This window comes from Homo sapiens, chromosome 2 (assembly GCF_000001405.40).
Source record: "Homo sapiens chromosome 2, GRCh38.p14 Primary Assembly".
Taxonomy (NCBI): Eukaryota; Metazoa; Chordata; class Mammalia; order Primates; family Hominidae; genus Homo; species Homo sapiens.
In genome coordinates, this window is record NC_000002.12 from 231781433 (window position 1) to 231809253 (window position 27821).

The 27821-nt window shown below is 45.0% G+C and overlaps 1 protein-coding gene and 1 pseudogene across 13 annotated transcripts, besides 3 other annotated features; one reads left to right on the plus strand and one right to left on the minus strand.

The window, feature by feature from the left end:
• On the plus strand, positions 239-27821 carry COPS7B (COP9 signalosome subunit 7B). Of its 13 annotated transcripts, none has more exons than XR_001738900.3 (9): positions 5013-5106; positions 7123-7300; positions 10301-10376; positions 12831-12919; positions 14674-14876; positions 17427-17532; positions 19476-19594; positions 19708-19775; positions 26055-27821. XR_001738900.3 is itself a non-coding variant. In XM_006712693.3 (8 exons), the coding sequence occupies exons 2-8, from the start codon at positions 7139-7141 to the stop codon at positions 26185-26187; spliced, it is 837 nt and encodes a 278-aa protein (XP_006712756.1). In that variant the 5' UTR covers positions 239-451; positions 7123-7138; the 3' UTR covers positions 26188-27821. The 13 variants fall into 13 exon arrangements, 11 of the variants coding, with proteins under 11 accessions (XP_006712756.1, NP_001356412.1, NP_001269878.1 ...); XR_007080108.1 differs by having other exon boundaries at positions 19723-19775; XM_006712693.3 differs by lacking the exons at positions 5013-5106; positions 19476-19594 and adding an exon at positions 239-451.
• Positions 4651-4730: a silencer, noted in NCBI's record as "silent region_12447". NCBI's record gives its function as "represses an Ori minimal core promoter by ATAC-STARR-seq in GM12878 lymphoblastoid cells {active_cell/tissue: GM12878}" and the evidence as "EXISTENCE:reporter gene assay evidence [ECO:0000049][PMID:35858748]".
• Positions 4741-4920: a silencer, noted in NCBI's record as "silent region_12448". NCBI's record gives its function as "represses an Ori minimal core promoter by ATAC-STARR-seq in GM12878 lymphoblastoid cells {active_cell/tissue: GM12878}" and the evidence as "EXISTENCE:reporter gene assay evidence [ECO:0000049][PMID:35858748]".
• Positions 5011-5270: a silencer, noted in NCBI's record as "silent region_12449". NCBI's record gives its function as "represses an Ori minimal core promoter by ATAC-STARR-seq in GM12878 lymphoblastoid cells {active_cell/tissue: GM12878}" and the evidence as "EXISTENCE:reporter gene assay evidence [ECO:0000049][PMID:35858748]".
• On the minus strand, positions 8054-8454 carry RPL28P2 (ribosomal protein L28 pseudogene 2; annotated as a pseudogene).

The window sequence follows — 27821 nt, forward strand, 5'->3', positions numbered from 1 at the left end:
CCCATAGGACACAATATTCATCTGGTGTTGTTGCCTAGAGTTTGTCCCAGCGGAGGGTTGGCTTCGGATCTGCAGAGGCTTTAGGGACCTGCTCCAGCCACTGAGCACACTAGCCGTCTGAGACGGCAGCTGAGTTGCACTGTGCGACGCGACAGAGACTACATTTCCCAGCATTCCAGCGGCGCACTCGGGGGACCACAGATCCCAGCGCACCACAAAGAGGCCCGGGGACTACAAATCCCAGCATCCCCTGCACTCGGTTCCTCTGTAACTTAGACTCCAGTGTGCCGCGCAGTGTGCGCAAATTCACAAACCCGCCCGCTGAGTTGGTCGTTTCGGAATCCCGAGACTTGAAACCCAACGGGAAGACCCTTCTCACCCTCAAAAGAAGATGACAGCCCGCAGAGAGTTAACTTCTGTTTACATGGAACTCAGACATCTGCAAATCATGGTAAGGCTGCAAACAACAAACAAAAACACTGATTAAACCGTGAAAGAGAACAAAATGACTTCTTCAAATCGTGCTTGTTTGTTGGTCTGAGGCGCCTTTTACATGTATTTCAGGGTTTTTTGCTGTATTCCTGGTTTGCACCGGGAGAGCTATGGATTGTATACTCAGAATATCAAAACATAAAGGGACTTTGCTAATCTATCCCCTGTTGTTACGTATGAGGAAATTGAGGCCCAGAGAGGCGAAGGGATTGGCCACAGATCACAGCAAGTTCGGGCAGAGTTAGAATTCAGCCCTAAGTCGGCTGACTTGCAGTCTGGACTCTTTGCACCACACTAAGGAGGTGATATTTTTAGCAGCATGGCAATGTGAATTATTCTCCTTGAACGGTTTTCCTATCCACTGTTGAAACACCCAGAATTAGGTAGCATTTATTTGGTGGATTTCTTGCGAGTGAGGGAGTGTGATATTTATTTATTTTCAGCCTAGGTAGGATTTGGTGTTTTGTTTTTTGCCACTCAAGGTGACATTTAATGTGATTTCAGGAAGTAGGTAAAATTACAGTGTGAGCCACGGTTTCCTTGGAAACCTCCTCTGTCCTTCTCTTGGCCTTCCTTCCTCTGCCTGTCCCCACTTTCACCCATCTGGGAACTCACCCAATTTTTTCTTCCATGTAATTCAACAAATATCTTTTCAGCCTGTTATTTGTCAGGCACTGAGTGGGTAAAAGGTGAAGGACATGGTCACTGCCACCAGGAAGATGAACATATATTTAGGGAAATAAGGAGACTCCACTGAGATTCAAGATGGAGTGTGATAAAATGGCATAAAGAAATGACATCAGAATGCTAAGGAGGCCCTGATGAAAAGGTTCATTGCAGCTGGCAAAACTTTAATGGACAAGGTGGCATTTGAACTTGAATTTTTTTTCCATGTTAAAAAAGTTTTTTTTTTGTTAATGAGGTGTAACATACAGTATGGGAACAATTTTCACATAGGTATACACCCCTGTCGCCACTACCCAAATCAAGATATAGAACATTTCTAGCACACTTAGTGCTCCCTCCCAATCAGTATTACATCCTTACATATTGAGATAATCACTCTTCTGACTGTATCACCATAGATCAGTTTTCTCTGTTCTTGAATTCCAGTTAAATATAATAATACAGTATGTACAGTATGTGTCTGGCTTTTTTACTTTATCAGTATTTTTGTGAAATTCATCCATGTTGTGTGTAGCCTTTTAATTGCTGAATAGTATTCTGTTGTATGTTTATACCACAATTTATCTTTTCCACTGTTGGCGGGCATTTGGGTTGTTATTTTTTGGACTATTATTAGCAAAGCCGTAGTGAGCATTCTTACATGTTTCTTTTTGTAGACACTTGCACACATTTCTAGGAGAGGAATTGCTAGTGTGTAGGGAGGGTATGCACATGATCAGTGATAGTAGACATTGCCAGTTTTTCAAAATGATTGTACCAATTTACGCCTTTGCCAGCAATATGAGAGAGTTCTAGGTGCCTCTTATCCTTGTCAACACAAGAGTTTTGTTGTCAGTCTTCTTAATTGTAGCCGTTCTGGCTGAATGTGGTATCTCATTAAGGTATTTATTTGCATTTTTCCTGATGTTGAGCACCTTTCAATGTGCTTGTTGGCTAGTTGAACGTCCTCTTTCGTGAAGTGCCTGTTCTTTTCCCAACTTTTAAAAATTGGGCTGTCTTCTTATTGATTTGTAGTTCTTTACAGTCTGGATATGGAGTTCTTTGATATATGCTTTGCAGATATCTTTTCCAAGGCATGGCTTGTCTTTTCACTCTCTTACTGGTGTCTTTTGAAACAAATTATATTTTTGAGGGATGGGGTCTCTGCTGTGTTGCCCAGGCTGGAATGCAGTGGCTATTCACAGGCACCAGCATTGCCCACTGCAACCTCGAACTCCTGGGATCAAGTGATCCTCCTGCCTCTGCCTCGCAAGTAGCTATAGTAAGACTATAGGTGTACTCCACTGCATCTGACAAGCAGAAATTCTTAATTTTAACACAGTGCAATAGTTCCGTGCTTTTTATTATGGTTAGTGTTTTTTGCATTGGATTTCAGAAATCTTTGCTTTTAGAGTTGGCAGGTTTTTTACAGGCTGATAGAAGAGCATTCCAAAAAAGAGCAAGCTTGAGCATAGGTGTGGTGTCTGAGAGGGAGGGTGTAAGTTGTGCCGGGCATGGGAGTTTGGACTGAGAAGGGGGAGGGGGTGGGGTGCGACAAAGCTGGAGTTAGGAGGGAGGCACACTTTGAAGGGCTTTCAGTGCAGCCACTGCCTGGGCGTGGTGGCTCACGCCTGTAATCTCAGCACTCTGGGAGCCAAGGTGGGAGGATCACTTGAGATCAGGGAAGACCAGCTTGAGCAACATAGTGAGACCCCATCTTTAAAAAAAAAAAAAGGAATAAATTTGCCGGGTGTGGTGGCACGCACCTCTAGTCCTAGCTACTTGGGAGGTGGAGGTGGTAGGATCCCTTGAGCCCAGAAGTTCAAGGCTGAGGTGAGCTATGATAGTGCCACTGCACTCCAGCCGCGGTGACAGAGTAAGACTCTGTCTCTTAAGGGAAAAAAAAACCAAAATACTAAATCCAAATTGCAGCCATGGAGTCTGGACATTGTTCTAGAGGAAGTAGAGGCATTGCTGGAATTTCTATGAAGTCACACTAAACTCACTTGTCTTCCTCTCACTCTCATATTTGTCCCTCCTCTTCCATAGCCCTGTTCACTTAACACTAGCTCTAGACAGCTCTGGCCTCCCAGCGCAGAATCCTGGGTGTTATGCTCCCTCCCTCTCCTTATATTCAACTGGTCACCAAGTCTTATAGATTCTATAGTCTAAATGTCTCCAACAGTGTCCCTTCTTTTTCATCCCCAATTGCCACTACCTTTGTTTTTGTTTGTATTTTTGAGATGCAGTCTCAGTCTGTTGCCCAGGCTGGAATGCAGTGGCGCAATTTCGGCTCACTGCAACCTCCACCTCCTGGGTTCAAGCGATTCTCATGCCTCAGCCTCCAGAGTAGCTGAGATTAGTAGTGCATCACCATGCCCAGCTAATTTTTGTATTTTTAGTAGAGACAGAGTTTTGCCATGTGGCCCAGGCCGGTCTCGAACTCCTGACCTCAGGTGATCTGCCCACCTTGGCCTCCCAAAGTGCTGGGATTACAGGCGTGAGCCACCGCGCCCGGCAACACAATCTCTTATCTAGAATAAATCGGTCACCTCACCGGAGGTTTTCCCTGCCTCCAATTCTCTCCACATCCAATCCACTCCTATAGCACCTAGCATGATCACTCTAACAAGGCAATTATTCATACCTCTCCTTAGCTTAAAAAGCCTAAGTAATTCCCCAGTACCTGGCATGTGGATTCCAAGACCTTTGATGACCTGACTCCAGCTCTGTACCCCTCATTTCTCACTCTTGAAAACCCTGGGGTCAAACCACTCTGGGTTTCTTTTTGACATCAGTATATGCTGCACAGTGCGAGCCTCTGTGACAATGGGCACTACCCCCCTTTTTTCCCCTTTTTGTCTGTTTTTTTCTTCCCCAACCTCTTCTGTGCTTCCAAAGTGTTGTCATATCTTCCCCATAGCATTTAACACATTGGAGCTTTTGAGGGTAAGAGCTTTGTTTTATCTTCATATAACTTTTCAGGACATAATAGGTGCTAAAGAAATGTTTTTGAATAAATGAATGAGTTGGTTGATGCTAGGCTCCTTTGCATTTGTCCTGTCTCATTTCTGCATTCTAACGCACGATAGGCAAATAGGGCTGTTTTTCTCTCTCATTTTCAAGACCTGAAAGACTGTGGTGTATACAGGAATCAGTTTAAGTGTTCAATTATGTGGCATTTCTTAGCCATCTTCCCAGGGGAGTTGGTAAGCACCAGATGCAACTCTATCAATGACATTTTGGTCATAGAACCATTGTTGGCTTAACCCATCTCTTGCTTATTTTAAAACATTTTCTGAATAGAGGTCAAGAACATCGTCTTCGGCCTCAGATAGCCTGGGTTTGACAAAGATAGCAAGCTTTGTCACTTTCTGACTTTTGGACTTAGTTAACTCACCTGAAAAATGGGAACAATAATACAAGCCACAGTTATGAGAATTCAACGAGATAATGCATGTACAGCACCTGGCACATGGTAAAACGCTCAATAAGTGGTAGTTAGTAGGCTTAATGTATCTCGGTGCCCAGGGGTAGCGCAGTAGCCATGGGGAGCTCCTGAGAGAGAAAGCACAGCCTAAGGGGAGGATTTGGGGCCCGGGATGGCGATGGCGACGGTTGGGCTGCAGTACCGTCTAGGCCGCATTCCTCTCCTTGGGCCCCTAGCCACCCCCTCCCCGCCTGGTTCCCGGGCTGCAGACTCTTCCCCGCCCCCTCGCTCCCACTTCCCCACCGGAGGTCGAAGGCTGTAAACGCGGCGGGTGGAACCTTGTGTGGGCGGAACGCGAGTGCAGCGGTGGGAGGCTTCCGGGGGAGCTGCACGGGCGACGGGTCGGCGGAGACAGAAAAGCGCCGGACGCCGGGGTGATCATGGACGCTTGACAACCTGCGGGCAGGCGCCGGGAGGCCGAGCCAGCGACTAAGAGGACCGAGAGGTGGCGTGGACAGGTAGGAGCTAGCGAGAGGGTGGGCCGAGCGGGGCCGGCGCTCCAGGCTCGGCCAGACGATCCGGCTTAGAGCCCGCCGCCAAGGAAGCCCGCGGCCGTGCCCGCCCCGCCCCCGCCTTGGGGAGCGCGTCCCGCGGCTCCTCACTCCACGCCTGCGGCCCTGCTTGGAGCATACCGCCCACCGTGAGGTCTGCTGCAGCTTGCGACCCTCAGCTTCAGTGCTGTGGCTGCTTTCGCTCTCCCATCCCCAAAGGCTGCTCGTTTGCCCCTCTCCAGTCCATCCAAATAGCGCCCTCCCCTGACGGGAATTTATCTCCGCTCTGTGCCTAGCCTCTGGCCCTCCCACTCCAGAAGAAAGCGACTGTCTCCGTCTCTTTACATTCTCTGCGCCCACAGGCTTTGCTCCTTAAGCCGAGATTTTTTGAAGGGACAGAAGTTTCTCTCCATTTCCCTACCCCCTCTCCACCCCCACCTCCTAACATTGGGACTCTTTGCAGAGATCCCCATCTGTCTCTTCACACGGGTCCTCTTGGAAGGGCCTTTTCGCTCCTTCCCTCTTTACCGTCACCGACCCTCCTTTCTTCCCTACTCCTTTCCTTCTTCCTCGTATCCTCTCCCCTTCTCTTTTCCCTTTCCCTTCCGTCCTCAAACTCGTTGTTCCCCAGCACTTCATTGTTTTTCCTGTGTCTGGCCGGACCTTCTTAGGTAACCCTAAGTGAGGCGACATACTTGTTTCTCTAATACTGTGAAAGGGCAACTAATCTGTGTGCCTGCCAACACAAAACTTAGTTCCTCTTGCACCAAACTATTCTTCAAATTGTTCTTTGCTGCACTCTACTATACCGTTTTTCGTTCATTTTGTCACGCTGCTCTAATATGTATCATTCTTGGAGGAGAAATCTTACCTGGAACTCCTGTACACTCAGCGTGTAATTAGATTACACAATTGAGGGACCCTCCTGTACTTAATGTCTTCGGAGCGCTGATACAATATTTTCACTGTTTTCCCAAATCTTTTTATCGTTTTCTTGAGGTTTTTTTTTTTTTACACATTCTGAAGTCACGTTTGGTTAAAATGTCGTATCAGGAGGAGGCCGAATACAGGGATTTTTCCCCATGGTCTTACACAGCATGTATGTTCTTAGTTTGAATATATCGCTACTTTTCTTTCAAAATGATGTCTCCCTTTATCTGTGCTTACTTGACTTGATTAAATGAGACATCTTTCTTGTCTGGTTTTTTGTTTTCCTTATCTGTCTGGCTGTAGATTGGATTCTGATGACACAGTGGGAGCTGTAACTGATTGCTTTTGCTTACATCCGGTGCCTCTGTGTATAGGCAGTATCCTCCATTTCTTAACCAGAATGTATAAACGAGGTGGATATAAAACAGCTGCTGAGAAACTCATGTGTTTTTCTTTAGGTCCTGGTCAGGTTTAAGGACTTAGAAGGTGTTGCCTCTGGAGGAGGGACAGGTGGAAGTGAAATGACTTTTACAAAGTGTGTTTCAAACACCAGAATTTAGGACAAGATCCTTTTAACTCCAGGTTGAACTCCACCCATCTCATAAGGTGGTCATTGCATCTGGACTCAGGAACTGTTTTTTTTTTTTTTTTTTTTGAGACAGTCTCGCTCTGTTGCCCAGGCTGGAGTGCAGTGGCACAATCTTGGCTCACTGCAACCTCCACCTCCTGGGTTCAAGCAATTCTTGTGCCACAGCCTCCCAAGTAACTGGGACTACAGGTATCTGCCACCAGCCTAGCTAATTTTTGTATTTTTAGTAGAGATGGGGTTTTGCCATGTTGCCCATACTGGTCTCGAACTCCTCACCTCAGGTGATCCACCCGCCTCAGCCTCCCAAAGTGCTGGGATTACAGGCATGAGCCACTGCACTTGTCCTGTTTTTTCTTTATCAACACTATAAAAGTAAAGTATTCTGGTGTTTGATTCAGCACTGAATAGGCACAGACTTTGCAAAGGAGAAGGAAGAATGACTGACACAATTTTCTTTTGGACAGATTTCAAGGCCAGAGAATGGCAGGGGAACAGAAACCCTCAAGTAATCTCCTGGAGCAGTTTATTTTACTAGCCAAAGGTACCAGTGGCTCAGCCCTCACTGCTCTCATAAGCCAGGTCTTAGAGGCTCCCGGAGTGTATGTCTTTGGAGAACTTCTGGAGCTGGCCAACGTGCAGGAGGTAAGAACGGTTTGCAAACAATTTCTCTTTATTCTAAGACTCTGTAATTCTCCAGGTTTCCAAAGAATTTCAGTGCTGAAGTATTGTGAACCTGTGAGGTACCCTATTGTGAGACAGATGGGAATTGGTGGGGCAGAGGGAGAGATTGAGAGAATATCCTTGGCTCCTTTTATCCAGTATTTTTATCTTACCTTGGGTAAAATTAGATTGTTGCTAATAATAACCTAAAAGATAGTAAAAAAGTCAAATTGATCCTGATAAATTAGAAAAGTAGTGCTGTAAGCATGGGCTGTTTAATAGGAGTAGATTCATGCATTCTTAAGGACCAGAAACCTCCAGTGCAATATCGATAAGGAAGATTGGTCAGGGACACACAGCAGAAACATACTGCTATTGAACATAAGATGGACATGAATAGGAGTGTATTGTTCTTGAGGAAAAGGGCAGTGTTGTGCTAAATGTGTTAGATGTGTTAGATATGACATGAAAAGCTAGGACATAGTTCATTTTACTTGTTTGCTTGCTTGTTATTAAAACCTTGGATATCCAGTTTTGGTCATTGTGCCTCAAAAATGAGAAGATCCATTGAACAGAAGGAACAAAGAGATGTAAAGCAATCTATACTTCTCAACCTCTACTTTCCAATTTGAACATTTTTATTTATTTATATTTATTCACTTATTGAGAAAAGTCTGTAAGCATCTTTATTGTTTTGTGGGGTGGAGGCTGGTGCTCAGGAGCTTTTGGCGGATTGGTGGGGCAGGTCCCCTTCCTCTTCATCCTCACAGGCTTCTGGCTATGCAGACTGGTGCTGGCTCTGTGGAAGCTGCCATGCATAGATCTGGGTGATGGTACTTCTTGTGGAGCATGTGCTGGATGCTGTTGAGAGTGGCCCCGGAGTTCTTGGTGGTGGCGATTTGCATATAGGAGGTGGTTTGCTTTTGTTGGGCAGTTTATCACCTTCATGACCACCACAACACCTTTGCTGTTGGCTCCACACCCACAGTCAGTTTTAACAGGAGTTTCAGTGAATCAGTTAGTTGTAACCAAAGGAGTTGCCGGCCTTCAGTTTATTGGATTCGGTGCTGTGTGTCTGCCTATTCCTCTTGATGGGGAAACTGGAGCAGTTCCCTACAGTCCAGCCATTTCAGGTGCCCAATTATGTCTCCTCTACCTGTGATGTTCAGAGATGAGAAGAGCCACTTTTACTTTTTCACTGTAAATTTTTATTTAATGTCAGCCTTGCTTGCCGAACTATAAACTCTGTGAGGAGGTCTGTAGTGCTCACCATTGTTTCTTTAGAGCTGAATACGTAGCCTGACACACAGTAGGCTTTCAATAAAAATTTAATTTACCAGAAGTGGAAAATGAGTTTTATGAAGAAAATTTCAGAAAACTGAGTTCATTTTTCAACACAAGAGATGACCAAGGGGTAATATGTTCCTTCAGGTTCATGAACAGCCTGCATGAATATGCCAAGTAGTTGTTTTGTAACTGTGGAAGATTGGCTAAGAGGAGATGGATGGAAAGTAAAGTCAGAAAGACCTTATTGATTTAGGCCAGTGGGAGAAGTGTTGGAGTATCTGCTCTGGAGAAAATGCTCTTTTCCGGCTAGTTTTGTTAATTATGTTTCTGAAAAGGGGGGCTAGATTGGATGGTCTTTACCAGGTTTCTTCCCCTTCTGATTCAGGGACTTCAGGAGGTTTGTGGTAACCTGAGAAAGTAGCCTGAGGTATTATGGTGCTGGAGTTCTCCATAGGGTGCTTAGCAGACCACCTTTATCTCCCCATACATTGCGTTTTTCCATATGTGAGCTGAGAATAAGCTGGTTGCCTTTCAGTGATCTGAAATTATAGATGCATTTCTTGGAAGCTTTATTTTTTTTAATGGCTAAAATTGAGTAGTATCGCTATTGCTGTCTGTAGACTACCACTTGCTATTCCTGTTTAGAGTTTACTGGGCTTGGTAAGTTGGAAGGGTAACAGGAGCACGTTTGTGATTTTTTTTTTTTTTTTTTGAGACGGAGTCTCGCTCTGTCGCCCAGGCCGGACTGCGGACTGCAGTGGCGCAATCTCGGCTCACTGCAAGCTCCGCTTCCCGGGTTCACGCCATTCTCCTGCCTCAGCCTCCCAAGTAGCTGGGACTACAGGCGCCCGCCACCGCGCCCGGCTAATTTTTTGTATTTTTAGTAGAGACGGGGTTTCACCTTGTTAGCCAGGATGGTCTCGATCTCCTGACCTCATGATCCACCCGCCTCGGCCTCCCAAAGTGCTGGGATTACAGGCGTGAGCCACCGCGCCCGGCCCACGTTTGTGATTTAAACAACAACAACAACAACAACAACCAGTTAACGTAATTGACAGCAGAGAAGTTCCAGGCAGAACAGTGGCTCTTTCGTTTTTCTTCTACACATGGCTTTTTGCCATCAGCATCAGTGAAGAGTAAGTAATTTTAATGAACATTTTGATTTGGGGCAGACTGATACCCTGGTTTTCTGTCCCAGCCTGGCTTTCTGTCATACCTTATGATGTGCTGGTCTCTCCCAGGGTTCATAGTCCACGTGTAGTCCTGAAACTTGGAACCAACCCTGAGCTTTGTTCACTTTGGGTTGGTGGTGGCTCATGCCATACCTACCAAGCTGGTATGTAGATAGGGCTGCTCCAGTCTTTGTTTTAATGCAAACAGAATCTTGAGAAGATTTGAACTCCTTCCAATGCTTAATGCTTTGTATGTGTGTGTGAGAGAAAAGCAGTTCGTTGGGCATGCTGTATAGAAAGTAAAACATTCCTGAGAGAGAGAAATTAAATTTGGGGCTTTAATAATCTTGTTTATTTTTTCCCGAAGAACCAGAGTTGGTAGAGACCCCAGGGGCCAAGTAATCAAATAGTACAGAATAAACAGCCATGGCATCTTTGACACATGCTCACCCGTCCTCTGTTTGAACACTACAGTGATTGGTAGACAGTTTGGTCTGTGGTGAACTTTTTTTTTCCTCTTCAGCTTGCGGAAGGAGCTAATGCTGCTTATTTGCAGTTGTTGAACCTGTTTGCCTATGGGACATACCCAGATTACATAGGTGAGTTGGTGAAGATCCTTCAAAAGACTTGTGTTAATTATGTTGCTCAGTTTGGAAGACCATCAAGGTTTGAGATATAAAGCATGGGGTAGTGGGGAGACTTCTTGACCTGGCTGCCTCCCATTTTGCTGTGCCCGGTGGGTGACCTCACAAAGGGAATGTTCCTTCTCACCTTTTATATTCTAGTGGGTCAAATGGGGCCTGTGTGTGCTCATCCACAAATGTAGCCCTTGTTTGTTTTCCAGATGAGATTCTTGAGGACTGGTGTTTGTAGGGCTCTTGGAGTGCTGTGAAGTGCAGAATACCCACCTGTAGAATGTTTCAACATTTTAAATATTATCAAAATAATACCAGCATATTGAAGAAAATTTGGAAAATAGACTTTTTAAAAGTCACTCATAGGCTGGGCGCGGTGGCTCATGCCTGTAATCCCAGCACTTTGGGAGGCCGAGGCAGGCAGATCACTTGAGGTGAGGAGTTTTACACCAGCCTGGCCAACATGGTGAAACCCTGTCTCTACTAAAAATACAAAAATTAGCTCGGCGTGGTGGTGGGCGCCTGTAATCCCAGCCACTCCGGAGGCTGAGGCAGCAGAATTGCTTGAACCTGGGAGATAGAGACTGTAGTAAGCTGAGATTGCACCGCTGTACTCCAGCCTGGGCAACAGAGCGAGACTCTGTCAAACAAACAAATAAATAAATAAATGTCACTCATATGTTGCTCAGACATTTGGATGCTGGACTTTTTTGTGCCCCTTATGTTTGTGTTTTGTATTACATAGGTACAACTATGTATACAGTTTTATGTCTTGCTTGTTTCTTCCCACTTACAAACATTTATCCATATTTTAAGTCTTTTTAATATTTTTAATATTTCATAATCTACTTAGCTCATTTTCTGTTGCAGGGCATTTGGGTCATTTTAAATTATAATCTGAAGTATTAGGTTGAGGTATTTGTATGTCCAAACACTAACTTACCTTCTACCCAAAGCATTTTTTTCTGGCTTTCCTACCCTTTTTTAATGGTATGACTGTAGCCTGATACTCAGGGCCTTCGCTGCGATATCCCTGACTTCTTCTTTCTCCCTGGTCACTTCTACTTTGTGCTGCTGTCAGACTGGACAGTTTGCCAGTTCCTGGTACACCACATTTTTTTCTGACCTTCCCTTTGTTCCAGGGAATGTGTTCTGTTTTTCTGTCCTTGCTTACTAAAGAGGCAGCATTGCACAGACTCTGTTAGCAGACTGCCTGTAGCCAGTCTGGCTCCACTTCTACTAGTTGTGTGTTCGTTGACAAATGAAGTAACCTTATGCAGCTCAATTTCCTCGTCTGTAAAGTGGGAGTAACAATACAAGCCCATTATTCCTTACCTACACTCCTCGAAGTTAGATGTTTCAGAATTTAGAATTTTTGGGACTTTAAAAAGGTAATATGATGCGCATGCCTTTTTATGTAACACTCCCAGAGGAATGTGGAAACAAGTGGGATAAAAAGCCTGTCTCCGTACAGGTTAGAAATTCCCACCAGGTGAATTTCAGCACCATGCTTAAGAAAAAATCAGTTTGGATATAGTTTTTTGGAATCCAGAATTATCGTTAAGGAATTGAGGACACTTGGAGTCTTGCGGGTTGTTGTGAAGATGAACTGGATGTGTGTATGTACGTGTGGATCTATGCAATCCACAAGATGTAAAGCTTGCTATTTATGTTAGCTGCTGCAGCTGCTGCCCTTGCTGTTATTATCATTTATGGTTATTATTGAAATTTTGCCTCTTTCTCAAGGCTCAACTCAAACTCCATCTCTTCCATGAATTCTTTCTTTTTATCTTCTGTACTTTCCAAATGATACTGTTCTCTTTCCCTCTCCCCTCCCCTTTCATCTCTTTCTCTTACCCCTGTCTCCTCCCCATCCCTCTCCTCCTCTCTTCTAGTAGCTTGTACCTTTCTTCTGGTAGTTCTGCCTTGGATTTGTAGCTATGGAAACATCTGATTGTAAGACCGAGGACAAGTCCAGGGCCATGAAGTTGCACACCTCCAGGTGGTTGGTGGCCCTGGAGTTGTGCCATGCAGCAGCCCTGGCAAAGCCCATCTTGTTCATCCTTGATTCTTCTCAGTACAGAGCATTGCACACAACAGATGCTCGATGAAGATATGTTTAATTTAATTGAATGTCACAAGGGGCACAAATAGTACTCCATTAAGATAATTGCCACATCATTTTGCTTGTTTGCTTTTTAGGAGACTAAACTCTGTGTTTGTAGAAACTGAGTCTTTTCTTCTTTGGAAGTACATAGTCTTCCAAAGAAGACAGGAATATTTGTCAAATGAATAAGTGCAAAGTCATGATAGTGATTCAGTAGTAGATTTGGTTTGGGGAGTTGGTGAGCTTATTCCATAAAAGAAATCCTAATTTTATTTTGTGTCTTGATTTTTGTGGTGGGTGGGACTGAGCAGCCAACAAGGAGAGCCTGCCAGAACTGAGCACAGCTCAGCAGAACAAGCTGAAGCATCTTACCATCGTGAGCTTGGCATCAAGAATGAAGGTACGGTACTGAGCCTTCTCTTGTCTTCCTCCTTACCCCAAGTCAGCTGTCTCATTGACATCAATGAAGGAAGTCCCAGCTGCACATAGGAGAGTCACATCATAAATGCATAAAATTTGCTTGACAGAGGAAAAGATAAAATGGTGTAGAAAAGTACTCCCCATTCCATACAGGAAAAGTATGCCCAGAAGTGATTGACTCAGCAGGTCTTAGTCCTGGCATGCTGTGGTGCCGCATGTGGCATGATCATTTTGCCATATTAAGGGGAGACTGCTGTTAAAGATATACATTTTTCAAATAGCAAGGCATCTCAAGGCAAGTTAACAGCTTAATCTGTTGCTCAGTACACAGTGAACTATGCCCATGCTGGAGGAAAAACTTGCTATGTCGGACTTGCTAGATTTTTTGTTGTTGTTGTTGTTGAGACGGAGTCTCACTCTGTCGCCCAGGCTGGAATGCAGTGGTGTGATCTCAGCTCACTGCAACCTCTGCCTCCCAGATTCGAGCGATTCCCCTACTCAGCCCCAAGTAGCTGGGATTACAGGCGTGGACCACCCCGCCCGGCTAATTTTTTTTTTTTTTTTTTGAGACAGAGTGTTGCTCTGTTGCCTGCGCTGGAGTGCAGTGGCGCAACCTGGGCTTACTGCAACCTCCACCTCCTGGGTTCAAGTGATTCTCCTGCCTCAGCCTCCCGAGTAGCTGGAATTACAGGCACCTGCCACCATGCCCATAATTTTTATATTTTTTAGTACAGTCAGGGTTTCATCACGTTGGCCAGGCTGGTCTTGAACTCCTGACCTCAGGTGATCCACCTGCCTCGGCCTCCCAAAGTGCTGGGATTACAGGCATGAGCCACCGTGCCCGGCCTTTTTAACTTAAAAAATTTTTTAAATTGAGACAAGGGTCTCACCATGTTGCCTAGGCTGGTCTCAACCCCCTGACTTCAAGCGATCCTCCCATCTCAGCCTCCCAAAGTGTTGGGATTACAGGTGTGAGCCACTGCACTTGGTTTTTTTGTTCTTGGATTGCAATTTCAGTTGCTGAAATCATTTTATCTGATCTAATGGCACATTTCTGATTCTCAGCCTAGCATTTCAGGTGGGAGGCCTATTTTGTTGTGAAATGAGGACCTGACCTTTTTTCTTGTACTGATTGTGGACTTCTCAAGTGTAGTAAAGAATGTTGGTACAGCCCAATAAAGAACTATTGTTGGGGAATTCATATTGGTTGTGTCTGAGAAAACAGATACAAACTTCAGGGTGACATCTGAGCTGGCAGTACCCATTGGCCACCTATAGGTAGATATGCTGGCCTGCAAGTTTTTTTTGTTTGTTTTTGCACTCTGCTGGGCAAGTAGCCAGCTCTTTCCAGTGACTGGGATCTGTTGGAGATTTATGGTGATCTAGCAAAGTCTGAAAGCTTCCAGAAGGTGGCAGAGTGGCATATACTCAGTAGTTCCCTTTCTCTCCACTGGTACAAGTTTTTAGGATCTCTACAAGTATGCTGCAGCATGTGAAATCTGAAGGCTGGGTGAAGCCAAGGAGGCAGAGAACCAGGAGGTTGCTTTCTTAGATGTTGGGTCTTCTAGGTCTCATGGTTCATTTATCCACCTCTTGTTGCCCTAGCTATTAATAATTACCACTAGCCTGCGTTTCCCGAGCCTAGAGGCAGCTGTTGGCTATGGGAGTAATACCTGCATTTTCGCTAATGCTTGCCAGATGGTTTTTATAATGATCACATGGCCTTATCTACAGTGTATCCCCTACTCCGTGTTGCTGAAAGACCTGGAGATGCGGAATCTCCGGGAACTAGAAGACCTTATCATTGAGGCTGTCTACACTGACATCATCCAGGGCAAGCTGGACCAGCGAAACCAGCTGCTGGAAGTGGATTTCTGCATTGGCCGTGACATCCGAAAGAAGGATATCAATAATATTGTCAAGACCCTGCATGAATGGTGAGGCTAAAAGGAGGAGGGGGATATCTAGCATGTCTTTTGTGCCTCTCCTTGCAAAAATGTGATTCCCTGGTGTCAGCTGAGGGTTTGGGGTGGGCCTGTAGCTACCTGGGAGCTGGGGCTTAGTGAGCCGGAGAGTGGAGCTACATTTGTGATCACAGCTGTGTGATAACAGGAGTCATTTCAGGCCTCCTGGTGCCTTGGTTGTAAAATAGTTCTTTCCTTAAATGCAACTGGGAGCTATTTAAAAGTGGGCTATAAAATGCCCAGGGTTAGCAGGTGGAGCCTATGTGTCCTAGCTGTGTGAGGCTAGTCCTGCCCTTTCCAAACTCACGCTCAAAGTTTGACCAAACTCAGGAAGGCTAGTGTTTGTAAGATTCTTTCTTTGTTTTTATTATTTTTTCTATCCCTGTTGAAGTTAACATGTTTATAAGATTCTTCGGATAAAAGAACTTACGTTCAAAATCAGTAACATATTGGGCTAATGTTTGTAAAACACCGTGAGGGACATGGAAGACAAGGAGTGGGTCATTTTAACTTGGAATACAGACTCATACAAAGAATATCTGATAACTATACTCTGGTATATAAAAAGCATTGGGACATTTGTGTTTTCTCTGTTTTAATGGAATTTGATATTTGTAAGAGCTGTCTCACATTCTACGAGGATTCACTGTGGAGTGATTTAAATTATTTGGGGCTTATAAAGCCAGATGGACTGATTGGAGAAGTTTTAGCTCAGTTTTGAAGGAAGGCCAGGGTTAGAGTATACCTGGAGGTGAGGAGAGTGTGTTCCCAGGCAGGCACGTGGCATGTTGGAAGCCATGAAGCAGACCCGGTGAGCTTTGTACACAGGTTCGGGAGGGAGAGAGAATCTCTGCTCATCCCCGAGAGAAGCATATCCAGAGAGGAGCAGTGCCACTTTGACTCCTTGGGGCCTGATGTCCCCTGAGTTTCCCTCACTTCAGCTACTTTTACACCCCAGGACATGTGTTGCTCACCCCTCACCCCAAGTTCTGTCCCAAATATAGCCCCAAACACCTTCTCTATACAACATCTGCCACAAGTGGAAGTTTTCAATAGCTTACAAAACTTAGAATAAATAAGAAATAAACTTAGAAATACCCCAACACAAAAATGGTCTGGCACACAAAATCTAGTTTCTGAACCTGCCAAAGTTGGCTGTCCTATTCTGTTTTTGAGATGGCTGACACAGCTTTTTATGTCCATAGTCTGGTTTCCTGTTTTTAAGCCCCCAATATGTTTGACATAGAGGTGCCAGACTAACTGGTTACCATGGGATGTTTACTAGTAGAAACTCTTACAACTCATGTTTAGGCACTGGAGGTAGATTGAAACAAAATTCATAGGCTGAGGGCTACCACATATATGGCAAAATGCTCACACTGTTGGATCTTAAGTGGAGGGTATGGGGATATTCATTGTAGTCTTTCAACTTTTTCATTTTTAAAAAAATTAATAGTGGGGAAAATAGGAGGAGGGGTATGGCAATTAGGAAGTAACTTAAACTTCTGAGAAAAGGCGGAATCTTCAAAACAGGATGCTTTTAGGAAATCTTTTTTTGTTTGTTGTTTTTTGAGACAGTTTTGCTCTTGTTGCCCAGGCTGGAGTGCAATAGTGCGATCTCAGCTCACCGCAACCTCTGCCTCCCAGGTTCAAGCGATTCTCCTGCCTCAGCCTCCCTAGTAGCTGGGATTACAGGCGTGTGCCACCAGGCCTGGCTAATTTTGTATTTGTAGTAGAGACGGGGTTTCTCCATGTTGGTCAGGCTGGTCTCGAATTCCCGACCTCAGGTGATCCGCCTGCCTCGGCCTCCCAAGGTGCTGGGATTACAGGCATGAGCCACTGCGCCTGGCCTAGAACATCTTTTTTTTCTGTTGAGAAAAGGATTACTCAGTGCCATCTATAAAATCTATTCTACCTTCTTTTTTTTTTTTTTTTTTTTGCGGCAGAGTTTCGCTCTGTCACCCAGGCTGGAGTGCAATTGCGTGGTCTCAGCTCACTGCAACCTCCGCCTCCCGGGTTCAAGTGATTCTCCTGCCTCAGCCTCCCAAGTAGCTGGGATTACAGGCACCCGCCACCACACCTGGCTAATTTTTGTATTTTTAGTAGAGATGGGGTTTCACTGTGTTGGCCAGGCTGGTCTCGAACTCCTGACCTGGTGATCCACCCACCTCGGCCTCTCAAAGAGCTGGGATTACAGGTGGGAGCCACTGCACCCGGCCTGTCCTACCTTCTTTAATCGTATGTGCTACAAAACCATCTTCCATGAGATACAAAGTTGAAAATTAAAGCTGTATTCTAAGAAACTAGCCCCAGACTACCATATTTGTCTCCTAATGTCCTGCATTATGTATTTAGAAGTGCTTGTCTTTGGGAAGGAGTGAACGGGCAAGAGATGTGGCAGAGGGAGTATTAAAGGAGGTCCCTGTAAGATACTGGGGAGAGCTGTTGGGGAAGAATATTTCTGAGCCTGGAAGAGACTTCCCAGGCCATTCTGCAGCTCAGGGCTGGTTTTCTCCATTGTAGGTGTGATGGCTGTGAAGCAGTTCTACTGGGCATCGAGCAGCAAGTTCTGAGAGCCAACCAGTACAAAGAGAACCACAACCGAACTCAGCAGCAGGTAGAAGCAGAGGTAAGGAAGGAAAGGAACATTTGTTTCTCTCTCCAGGCATACCTGTTTATTCGTTTGCAGTGTTTATGTTTTTGTTTTGCGAATCTTGGTGTAGATGAAACAAGCAGTCACCAACAAGTGGGCCTGGGCTAGGTGCTGGGTTACAGGGATGAGTGTGACACGGCTCCTGCTCTTGGTGTTCTGTCTCTTTTTTCTGATTCCTGGTCAGCATAGGGTGATCAATCAGGCTTGGAGAACAGAGAATGTTGTAGTTTCAGTACACATGTACTTTGCAGCTATAGAGCAAAAGAAAATGAGTTTGGGGATGGATCTTAAAAATGGATAGAAGGATGGTGGTAAGTTACCAGGTGGAGTGGAGGGAGGGGTACAGCTGGGCAGGGGCATGTGGGGCTTCAAGGCCCTGGGAGTGTTCTGCTTCTTAAGTTGCGTGGTGGGCACATAGTTTCATTTTATTCTTTCTCTGTGAACTGTACATATATATTATAAATGTGTAAAATGCATGACATGTTTCATACGGAAAGAAGAAAGGGATAAAATTTGGCAGATGAGCTGCAAGTGAAGTAAAGAGGATGTAAGTGTGGTTTTAGTGACACCTGGTTGTTGAGGAAACTTTTAGCTTCTTGGACAGATGTAGGCCCCAGCCTTTGCGTTATGGGCATTTGTGTACCTGTAACCTGACACATGAAGTGACCTCACTTCACAATTTATTTGGAGCCCTGCACTGATTTTCCTTAGCATTGGAAGTTCTTTTCTAGTGTGAATGGAGTTTGAAGTATTAATGATGCTTAATGAATTTTGAAAATCAGGTGTCTAAGAGTGGCGGAGTGGGACCCGTAATTCCAGCTAAGAAGCATAAGAGATGAGTAGATGGTGCCTTTCAAAGGGGGATTTGTGAAATTTGGAGTGATTCTCTATACTGTTATATGCACTCCTTGAAAATAAAACCTGTGTCCTATTTGTAAGACGAGCGTCTTGTCTCATGCCTAACCCATAGTAGGTACTCAAATGTTGAACTGAATATTTCTGGCACACCATAAAAGTGTGTCAGTGGACTGCTGAACTCTGCTTTTCATGAACTTGAGCTAATTTTTTTGAATACACACACACACCACCCTATATACATATACTCTGTGGATGTTCAATTCATAGACCATGTTTAATCCGACTAGCCAAGGAAGTATGAGGCTGGGTGCAGTGGTTCACACCTGTAATCCCAACACTTTGAGAGACCGAGGAGGAAGTATTGCGTGAGTCCAGGAGTTCGAGACCAGCCTGGGCAAGGAAGTGTTAACTATATTTAACATTAGTCCAAAGCAAAGACAATTAGGAAAATAAGCTTGCTGCTTTTCTAATAAGCTGTGCAACAACCCTCTTGATGATGGTGGCCTTTTCTCTGACTTGGGATTGAGGTCTGAACAAAGTAGGAAGGGCTAACCGCTTTCTCCTTTCTGTTTATTCTTCCCTATAAATCAAACTCTGTACAAAATGAGGTTGGGAGGCTAACCACACTACCTAATCTTTGGTATCAAGGTCATTAACAAAGATGAATGATACTTGTTTTAGAATTTTGAACTGTTCAAGTTTATTTTCATTATAAATAGCATCAGACAAAAGAAAGGCGGGTGTGCACAGAGCTATTGTAGACACTTGGCTAAAGTTTGAGGCACACCGTGTAGTTACACAACAGTGTAGACTCTTTAAATTTTGGTTATTTAAACACAGAGGGTGGGTGTGTGCACGAGCAGAGCCTGGTGCTGCCAGCAGGTGGCGGTAAGGATTTAAGTTTGAGAAAAAGAAATCTGAGCAAAAGGCCAAGGCCACCTCCACCACCAATTAAAACAGTCCATTGACGTAATAATCTTTTAGAAAATCTGAACCAGACCAATATGGTCTGTTCCCTGAGCATGGCCAAAGCTTAGGACCTTGTCATTTTTTCCATTTAGCAAATGCATGATCTGGCTGCTAAGTGTTGAAGGCTGCTTGCCACCTACTTGAGGCACACAGAAGATACTCACCAAATAGCTACTGACTTGAAAGGAAAAGAAATCTACAAAGAATCAGGGTGATTCTGTCGTATTCTGTTTGTATTTATGCCTCTGTTACCCTTGGCCTAACTTTTAAAAGCCAATTTTGTCAACTGATTGGTGATCTTTTCTTTATTTGTCCTTAAATTAGATTGCTTGTTTTCAGAGGGAAAAACGTGATGTCCCCCTCCTGAATCTTATAACAACAGCTTTCTTCTGGTGAGTTGTAGCTTTAAGAGCCCTCCTTCTTAATGAAGTCAGCCCTATCACAGACTGCCGAAGAATATTCTCTCCATTTAGGCTTTTGTGGAAATAACCCATATTAGTTCCTAGTTCCAGCATACCTGGGGGACCATTATGAGCTGTTTCATTATTTCTGAGGAAGCACTGTGGTGGGGAGGTAATACTTAGAGCATTACAAAGCACTTTCACATTTAAATTTGATTTTGGAAAGTATTTTCTTTTTGAGACAGAGTCTCTGTCACCCAGGCTGGAGTGCATGGAGTGCAGTGGTGCAAACACAGCTCGCTGCACCCTCAACCTCCTGGGCTCAAGCAGTCTTTCCACCTCGGCCTCCCAAGTTGCTAGGACTATAGGACTACAGGTGTATGCTACCACACCTGGCTGATTTTTTTTCTTTTCTTTTTTTTTTTTTTTTTAGGGAGAACTGGGTTTTGCTGTATTATTCAGGCTGGTCTTGAGCGCCTAACCTCAAGCTATCCTCCCACCTCTGGCTCCCTCTTTGTTGGGATTACAGGCGTGAGCCACCATGCCCAACCTACTTTTCTTTTTTTCTTTTTTGAGATGGAAATTCACTCTGTTGCCTAGGCTGGAGTGCAGTGGCATGATCTTGGCTCACTACTGCAACCTCCGCCTCCTGGGTTCAAGCAATTCTCATGCTTCAGCCTCCTGAGTAGCTGGGATTACAGGTGCCCGCCACCACGCCCAGCTAATTTTTGTATTTTTAGTAGAGACGGGGTTTCGCAATGTTGGCCAGGTTGTTCTCCACCTCCGGACCTCAAGTGATCCGCCTGCCTCGGTCTCCCAAAGTGCTGAGATTACAGGCCTGAGCCACCGCGCCCGGCCTCATTTTTCTTTATATTTGGATGTGCCTATGTCTGATGTTAGGTGGAATGTTAATTTATAACTATTGCTACATTTACAAAGTAGGCTGTGTTCCAGTCATGGAGGTCGTAAAGTGTAACTGGACAAAGTAAGCTCTGTTTTCCATTATGTAGAAAATCTCCTAGGAGTTAGTGACAATCTTGAGATTTATACAATGCACCAAAAGTATGCTTCCTGGTACCTCTTGGAAAGGGACTCTCCATCACCCAGTTCTCTTTTTCTTTGTAGCACTTTTCCAGTTGTGCACTGTGTTTCCTCTCGTCTGCCTTTGCTTTGCCCCTCAACTGAAGGAAGGTTTCCTGCCCCAGAAAGCTCTTTCTCCTTTTGCCTAAATATTTAAGGTCTCTGATGGAGCTAGGCTGCATTTTTGCTAGCAGTGCAATCTTACTTGAAAATTTCTGAGGTTCATGTTTTGAGGAGCCTGTAAGCCAGGCCACTGGAGGAAGAAAGTCATAAGGAACTCTACCAAATTTAGGTAAAAGAAGACAAGTCTGTGGTGATGATATTTGTTGTCAGTTGAAGGGTGACTGTGGAAGAGGAATTGGAATTCTTAAGAAAGTCTACGAGACCAGAATGGGTTTAATTGGTTGACCTACCTGGGTGGCCAATTTGGAGTCCTAGAAGGAGCTGTCTGCGGTTACAACTGCCCAGCTACTGGAAGAAGCTAGTTGAATTTTAAGATCCCCTTCCACTAGGAGAGTCTGTCAGTGCTTCAGAAGTCTCGTTTGTGAGTTGTGTGTTGTAAATGCAGTGGTAAAGCTGACTTGAGCAAAGTGTCTCTGTAATGGATCCCAGTGTGAGGGCCATGGCCCTGCCCCAGCCCAGGCCAGGCCTTTGTGGAGGATAAAAGGCTCATTTCCTAGGCTTAGAGACACTTGCCCAAGAAGCCCTCTTTTCCTCTGCAGGATGTTTACATTTTGCCTCAAAGTGGTAACGACTGTAGAGGACTTAGATTTGTCAGCAGTCTTATTGGAGGAGTGAGGTGTGTGCATCTGAAACACAAAGGAGATGCAGTGGTGTGGGAGGCCATCGAAGAGGGAGAGGCACTGCCAGGCAAGTACAGATTGAAGGGTGGCAGATCAGTGTGGGCTGCAGCAGTCAGGGCAGTTTGTATGGACCAGGTGCTCAACTCTCCAGGCAGGATCAGAGGGGCAACCTGGGGAGGAGCGGTAACCCCCGGGGTGCATGAACAACAGAAGGGCATAGGGGGAATGACTGCTTCCAAGTGTGGTGTGGGGGACGAGTGTGGCTGAGATGGCTTGAGTGCAGGGCATGTGTTGAGGAGTGGGAAGGAAGGTACCTGATCTTGGTATTTCAGAACTAGAGAAAAAACCAAGTTTTTCCCTGGGCCAAGTCTTATTTCTTTTTATTGCATGTCAGGGTTACTGAGCCCCTAAAAAAGCTGAATGAGAGCAGTTTCTACAGGAGAAAATGGCTTGAGGAAGTAAATAGGCATCTGAATAACAGGGGAAAGTGTCCATGCTTCTGTCTACTTATTTGTTCAAAAGCTTTTGACAGGATCTTGAATCTCAAAGGCTTTTAAATAGAATTGAGTCACCATGAGAGAGGGAGGCTGCGTTATGGTAGGGAGTGGCAGTACAGAAATGAAGCAGAGGGTCAGCCCTTCTGTGACTGCAGAAGGATGATGCGCGGGCTCCCTCAGGACCAGAGTGAGAACCATGAGTTTGTGGCTCTGTGAAGGAGAAGCATTGGAAGTGTTGAGCTTTGAAAAGAAAAAGAGTAAAACAGCAAAGCCTTGGGAGTCAGTTGAACTGGTCAGTTGCTGAGAGGCTGGCAGCGGAGCGTTGCCGTTGGTGGATGTGCCACAGGCAGAGTTTGCTCCTTGGCTGGCAGGTCAGGGACTCATCACTCAGCCCAGCCATAGATACTCTGAGTCCAAAGCCGGCCCAAATCACCTTGGGCCACTCTAAAGAGAGAAATAAATGCCGGTTGTCACTTTCTGATAGGCTGATAATGACTTTATGCTACAAAAACATAGGTGAAGCGGATTGAAAATATAACCATTATTTGGGGATTGATTAATGCCTTTTCCTTACTCATGCAGGGGTTATGAGACTGTCAGTAAATCTAAGACATGTTAAATAATGTAGAAAACTATTTGTAGTATAAGCTGATTTTTTTTTTTTTTTTTGAGACAGAGTCTGGCTCTGTAGCCCAGGCAGGAGTGCAGTGGCGCGATCTTGGCTCACTGCAAGCTCTGCCTCCCGGGTTCACGCCATTCTCCTGCCTCAGCGTCCCGAGTAGCTGGGACTACAGGTGCCCGCCACGTCACCCGGCTAACTTTTTATATTTTTAGTAGAGATGGGGTTTCACCGCGTTAGCCAGGATGGTCTCGATCTCCTGACCTCGTGATCTGCCTGCCTCAGCCTCCCAAAGTGCTGGGATTACAGGCGTGAGCCACTGTGCCTGGCCTAAGCTGATTGTTTAGTAAAAATTATTACACAAATAACTTGAGGAAATAAGGCTAAATAGTGCTTATCAGACAAGATGAAATTAGGAATTTTTTTTGGTTTTGTTTTTTTAATTTTTAATAAAGCTATTTTGCCAAATGGGAAAGGTAATTATTTGCTTGGAAAGATACCCCATTTTGGAAATACAGTCCTTGAAACAAAAACTTGTTTGTTTTCTAATGTCTTATTTGATTAAAATTTTGTCAGCTTTTGGGGAGACTTTAAAACACATTCCCTCAGGTAATGTTAAATTGCAGGATCTTCTTTGGAAGTTAGAGGTAACTGACATGCAAATAAATAAACTAAAGTCATGTCGTTACCTCTTATTATGATTTTAGTTCATTTTCTTCTGGATATTTAGAAAATATATCAAATTGGAGAAGCCTTAGAATGTTATTTTATAAAGCAGTGTTCCCTGAGAAGTCAAATTTCTTAATTTTTCCTCCAATGTCATCAAAATATGCCTTAGCTGGGCATGATAGTATGTGTCTGTAGTCCCAGCTACTTAGGAGGCTGAGGCAGGCAAATTGGTTCATGCCAGAAGTTTGAGACCAGCCTGGGCAACATAGCAAGATCCCATTTCTATTTTTTAAAAAAAGTCTTAAAACAAATAATATTTCTTTTATCAGAGAAAGAGTGATAAGCCATTGGCTTGCTCCAGATCATTCACTCACCACCTTGCCAGGTGACTCACTGAATGAGGTACACCAAAGTGGCAGTGAGCCGCTGGGAGGGCGAGATGCCTCAGGGTTCTGGGGTTCCCAGATTGTGTTTTGTTGTCTGGCAGGACACTGGATAAACCCAGAGTTGAATTCCCCTCCCTGTTTATTATATATATATATATATATTTTTTTTTAAATTTTATATATATATATATATATATATTTATATATTTCCAGGCACTGGGTCTTGCTGTGTCACCCAGGCTGGAATCAGTGGTGTAATCATAGTTCACTGCAGCCTCAAACTCCTGGACTTAAGTGATCCTCCTGCCTCAGCCTCCTGAATAGCTAGGACTATAGGCATGTGCCACCACACCAGGCACATGTTTTTTTCTTTTATGTCTTTTTGTTGAGATAAGGTCTTACTTGAATGTCATCTAGGCTGGAGTGCAGTGGTGCAGACATGGCTCACTGTAGCCTCTACCTCTTGGGCTTAAGCGATCCTCCTGCCTCAGCCACTTGAGTAGCTGGGACTACAGGTGCATGCCACCATACCTGGCTAAAATTTTTTTTTTTTTTTTTAAGAAAGACAGGGTCCCACTATGTTGCCCAGGCTGGTCTTGAACACCTGCTCTTGAGCAATTCTCTTTGCTCAGCCTCCCAAAGTGCTAGAAGTATAGGTGTGAGCCACCATGCCCAGCCTGCCCTCTGTAATGACTGTTCCAGCCCACAGTCCTCTGTCATTCTCTCTTCAGAAAGGCTACAGCGTTGATTGAGGTTACAGAAGTTTAGGGCATGGCTTTTCCCCCTGTCTCAAAATAGTGACAACAAAAAACAATTTATGATCTAGTTAAGGTGGATTCTGCAGATGATGGCTCTCCTCCAGGAACCCAATTTTTGTCTCACCCTCATAGCATTGTTTTGTCTTTGCATTTGGACTGTCTCTTACCCTCAAGCTCATAATATTCTGACTGTTGAGAACTTTTGACCCTGACAACTCCTTTTCACTATGTAGAAAACTGGCTGGGTGTGGTGGCTCATGCCTGTAATCCCAGCACTTTGGGAGGCCAAGGTAGGAGGGTCAGTTGACCCTGGGAGTTTGAAAACAGCCTGGACAACGTGGTGAAACCTTGTCTCTACAAATAAGTTTTTAAAAATTAGCCAGGCATGGTGGCAAGCGCCTGTGGTCCAAGCTGCTCAGGAGGCTGAGGTGGGAGGATCACTTAAGCCTGGGCAGTTGAGGCTGCAGTGAGCTGTGATTGTGCCACTATACTCCATCCTGTACAACAGAGTAAGACTCTGTCTCCAAAAAAAAAAAAAAAAAAGACTAAAAAAGCTATTACTTATTTGACTGCACTGTTCTTCCCTACCACCACCATCCTCTTCCTGCTGTTTCTTCCTCTCAACGAACTGAGGAGCAAAGGTTTGGAATAGTCACTTTTCAGCAGGCAATATAGCAGTACTGATTCAAATGTAAAATGTAAATCGACTTTGATCTGGAAAGCTCACTTCTAGGAGTATCTTCCATAGATGTTCACAGAAGTATGCAAAGGTAAACATAAAGGGCTGTTCAGAGTAGCACTGAAACCCAAACTAGGAACCAATTCAAAAAACTGGAAAACTGGAGAACCTTCCTAATAGAATAGGGTTCAAGTGTCACAGAGGATATCTGTTCTGACGTGGTAAAATGTTCAAGAGCTGCTTAAGTATTTACGAGTCTGTATTTTGTTAAGTGAAAGAAAGCTATACTGCACACGGTAGTGTCATAGCATTTTGCCAGTACTTCTATTACATTTTCTTCATTTCTCACTTAGTTGGCTGAAGTTCATCCTCTACTGGTTTATTCAAGAAGGTTCATGGAGCTGTATTCCCAAAGTTTTTATGAAAATATTTGTGGTTTTATAAATGAATAACAGCAGAGTGTAGAATTCTTGGGTCCCTCTTTCTGAGGACATTTTAATCACGATTTATTTCACTGTTGGTGATGTGCCTCTTTGCCAAATGTTCCCCTTCCATTTGTTTCAACCAGGAGAGCATTAGTCCCACATTTTTGCTTGACTCATTTCCACAAATCTGCTGTGAGTAGCCCAGGCTCGTTTCTGCTCATCTGGATTTCTGAAGAGAATTTCAGGTTTTCTTGCAGAGGATTTTAGCTTCCTGTCTGAAGTGAAGACATAGTGAGAGCAAGTTTTGGTGAGCACATACAGGCTGAGCACTCCAATTCTATATCTCCCCACCAGGTTACCAACATCAAGAAGACACTCAAAGCCACCGCATCCTCCTCGGCTCAGGAGATGGAGCAGCAGCTGGCTGAACGGGAGTGTCCCCCTCACGCTGAGCAGAGGCAGCCCACCAAGAAGATGTCCAAAGTGAAAGGTCTGGTCTCCAGCCGCCACTAGGGCCGGCTGGGGCAGCTGGCACTCACCAGGCCTGGGTCAGGTGGGGAGGGGACACCAAGGGCCCATTTCCTCCCCTCTCTACCTGCAGTGAGTTCCAGACCTGCCCGTCCCCTCACCAGCGCCTCCCCACCCTGTTGGTACTGTTCCAGAAAAACTGTTACTCCCCCTCACCCACTCCCTCCTTCCCCAGTTGTTCCCTTCAGACTCAGGGGCTCCACCAATGCCATCCCAAAACAGGGTCAGACACTGCCCAGCTTCCCTCCAGGAGGTTCTTGTCTCTGTGTAAGGGCTTGTCTCCCTCCCAGTTTTTCTTTTGCTCCACGTCATTTTGTCAGGCTGGTTATAAGCCGGAGGCAGCTTTAACCAGCCCCCAGGGATGATTGTGAAGGAGGCCCCTCCCCTTGTGAGGAGGGGGCACTCCTCTCCAGCCCCTGGTACCACAGTCCTCACGATGGTGCAGTGATTTCTAGCCAGGCGTCAAGATGCGCTGCTTTCCCTCTCCTGCCTCATCCCTTGTTGGCAGCTCCAGTTCAGGCCGTGGAGGGACGTGATGCTGGGCTGTGTTTACTAAACCCACGGGTTTTCAGCCTCTTAAGCCCAGCTCCGATCTCCAATTAGTTGAGAGCGCTGGGTTGACTAACCTCTGGTATCTGAGCACAGACAGAGGGTGCTGTGGGTCTGCTGGGTGGCAGAAATGGTTCCTTCCGGCTTGGCGTTCTCTCCTGGCCACTCTTCCTGCTGCCTCTGACTACTCAGCCTTGTTTTCGGTGTGTAGGCCCCAGCTGCCCACTGGAACTGCCGGCTAATGCTTGCTCTCCCAAGATCTTTAACTCCTCCTGGCTGCACCTGGGTAGGGATGGTGGCATCGATGCCCCTCTGTCTGCTGAAGGACCTGTTGCTGCTTCTGTCTTTTCACCCCTCCTTGGCTGATGACCCAGAGCCCTCTGATGATGGCATTCTCCTGGCAAGAGAAAAAGACTTAACTAGACTTCTGAACTTGAACAGTTTCAGGTTATATTTTAATTTTTTTTTTTTTGTACAGGTTCTGATTCTAATACATTTCAACATGCTTTTGTCCCCCCTCGTGTCAATATTTGTTATAGACTAATCGCCGGGGATTTTTCACCTGGTTGGAGGGTGGGGGTGGGGTGGGGTGTGTGTGTGTGTGTGTGTGTGTGTGTGTGTGTGTGTGTGTGTTTGTAGGTCCTGGACTGATTAAAGTTCATTGAGGAAAAAGCACATTTTACAACAAAAAAATAAAAGTGTAGATTTAATGTATGTGACTGGGGTTTGGGGTTGCATACCTGGTGGATCTTGAGGGGCTGGGATTAGGGTGGTTCAGGAAAATGTGATGCTGTTTCCCCATGTTTAGCCATGGTCAAAAAATGGATTTCTCCTTTTTCTAAAATGTCCAGCAACTGCCTACTGTTGATCAAATGTTGAAGTATTCTTGTTTCCCTTTTAAGCCAATCCATGTGCCCACATAACATTATGCCCAAGTGGAGAGTTCACTTTAATTTCCAAAGTATGTTTCATGCAGCCCCCTGTCAGCTGCTCTGTGGAAAAGGGGTTCTGTTATGAAATAAATGTTGCACTCCCTGCATCCCA

What these genes read in the sequence shown, in the direction of transcription:
- COPS7B (XM_006712693.3), top strand. Translation starts at nt 7,139, where the DNA reads ATGGCAGGGGAACAGAAACCCTCAAGTAATCTCCTGGAGCAGTTTATT. An exon ending in GCTTGGCATCAAGAATGAAG is followed by an intron (nt 12,920 to 14,673) that starts GTACGGTACTGA and finishes CCTTATCTACAG; the next exon opens with TGTATCCCCTACTCCGTGTT. An exon ending in ATAACAACAGCTTTCTTCTG is followed by an intron (nt 19,776 to 26,054) that starts GTGAGTTGTAGC and finishes TCTCCCCACCAG; the next exon opens with GTTACCAACATCAAGAAGAC.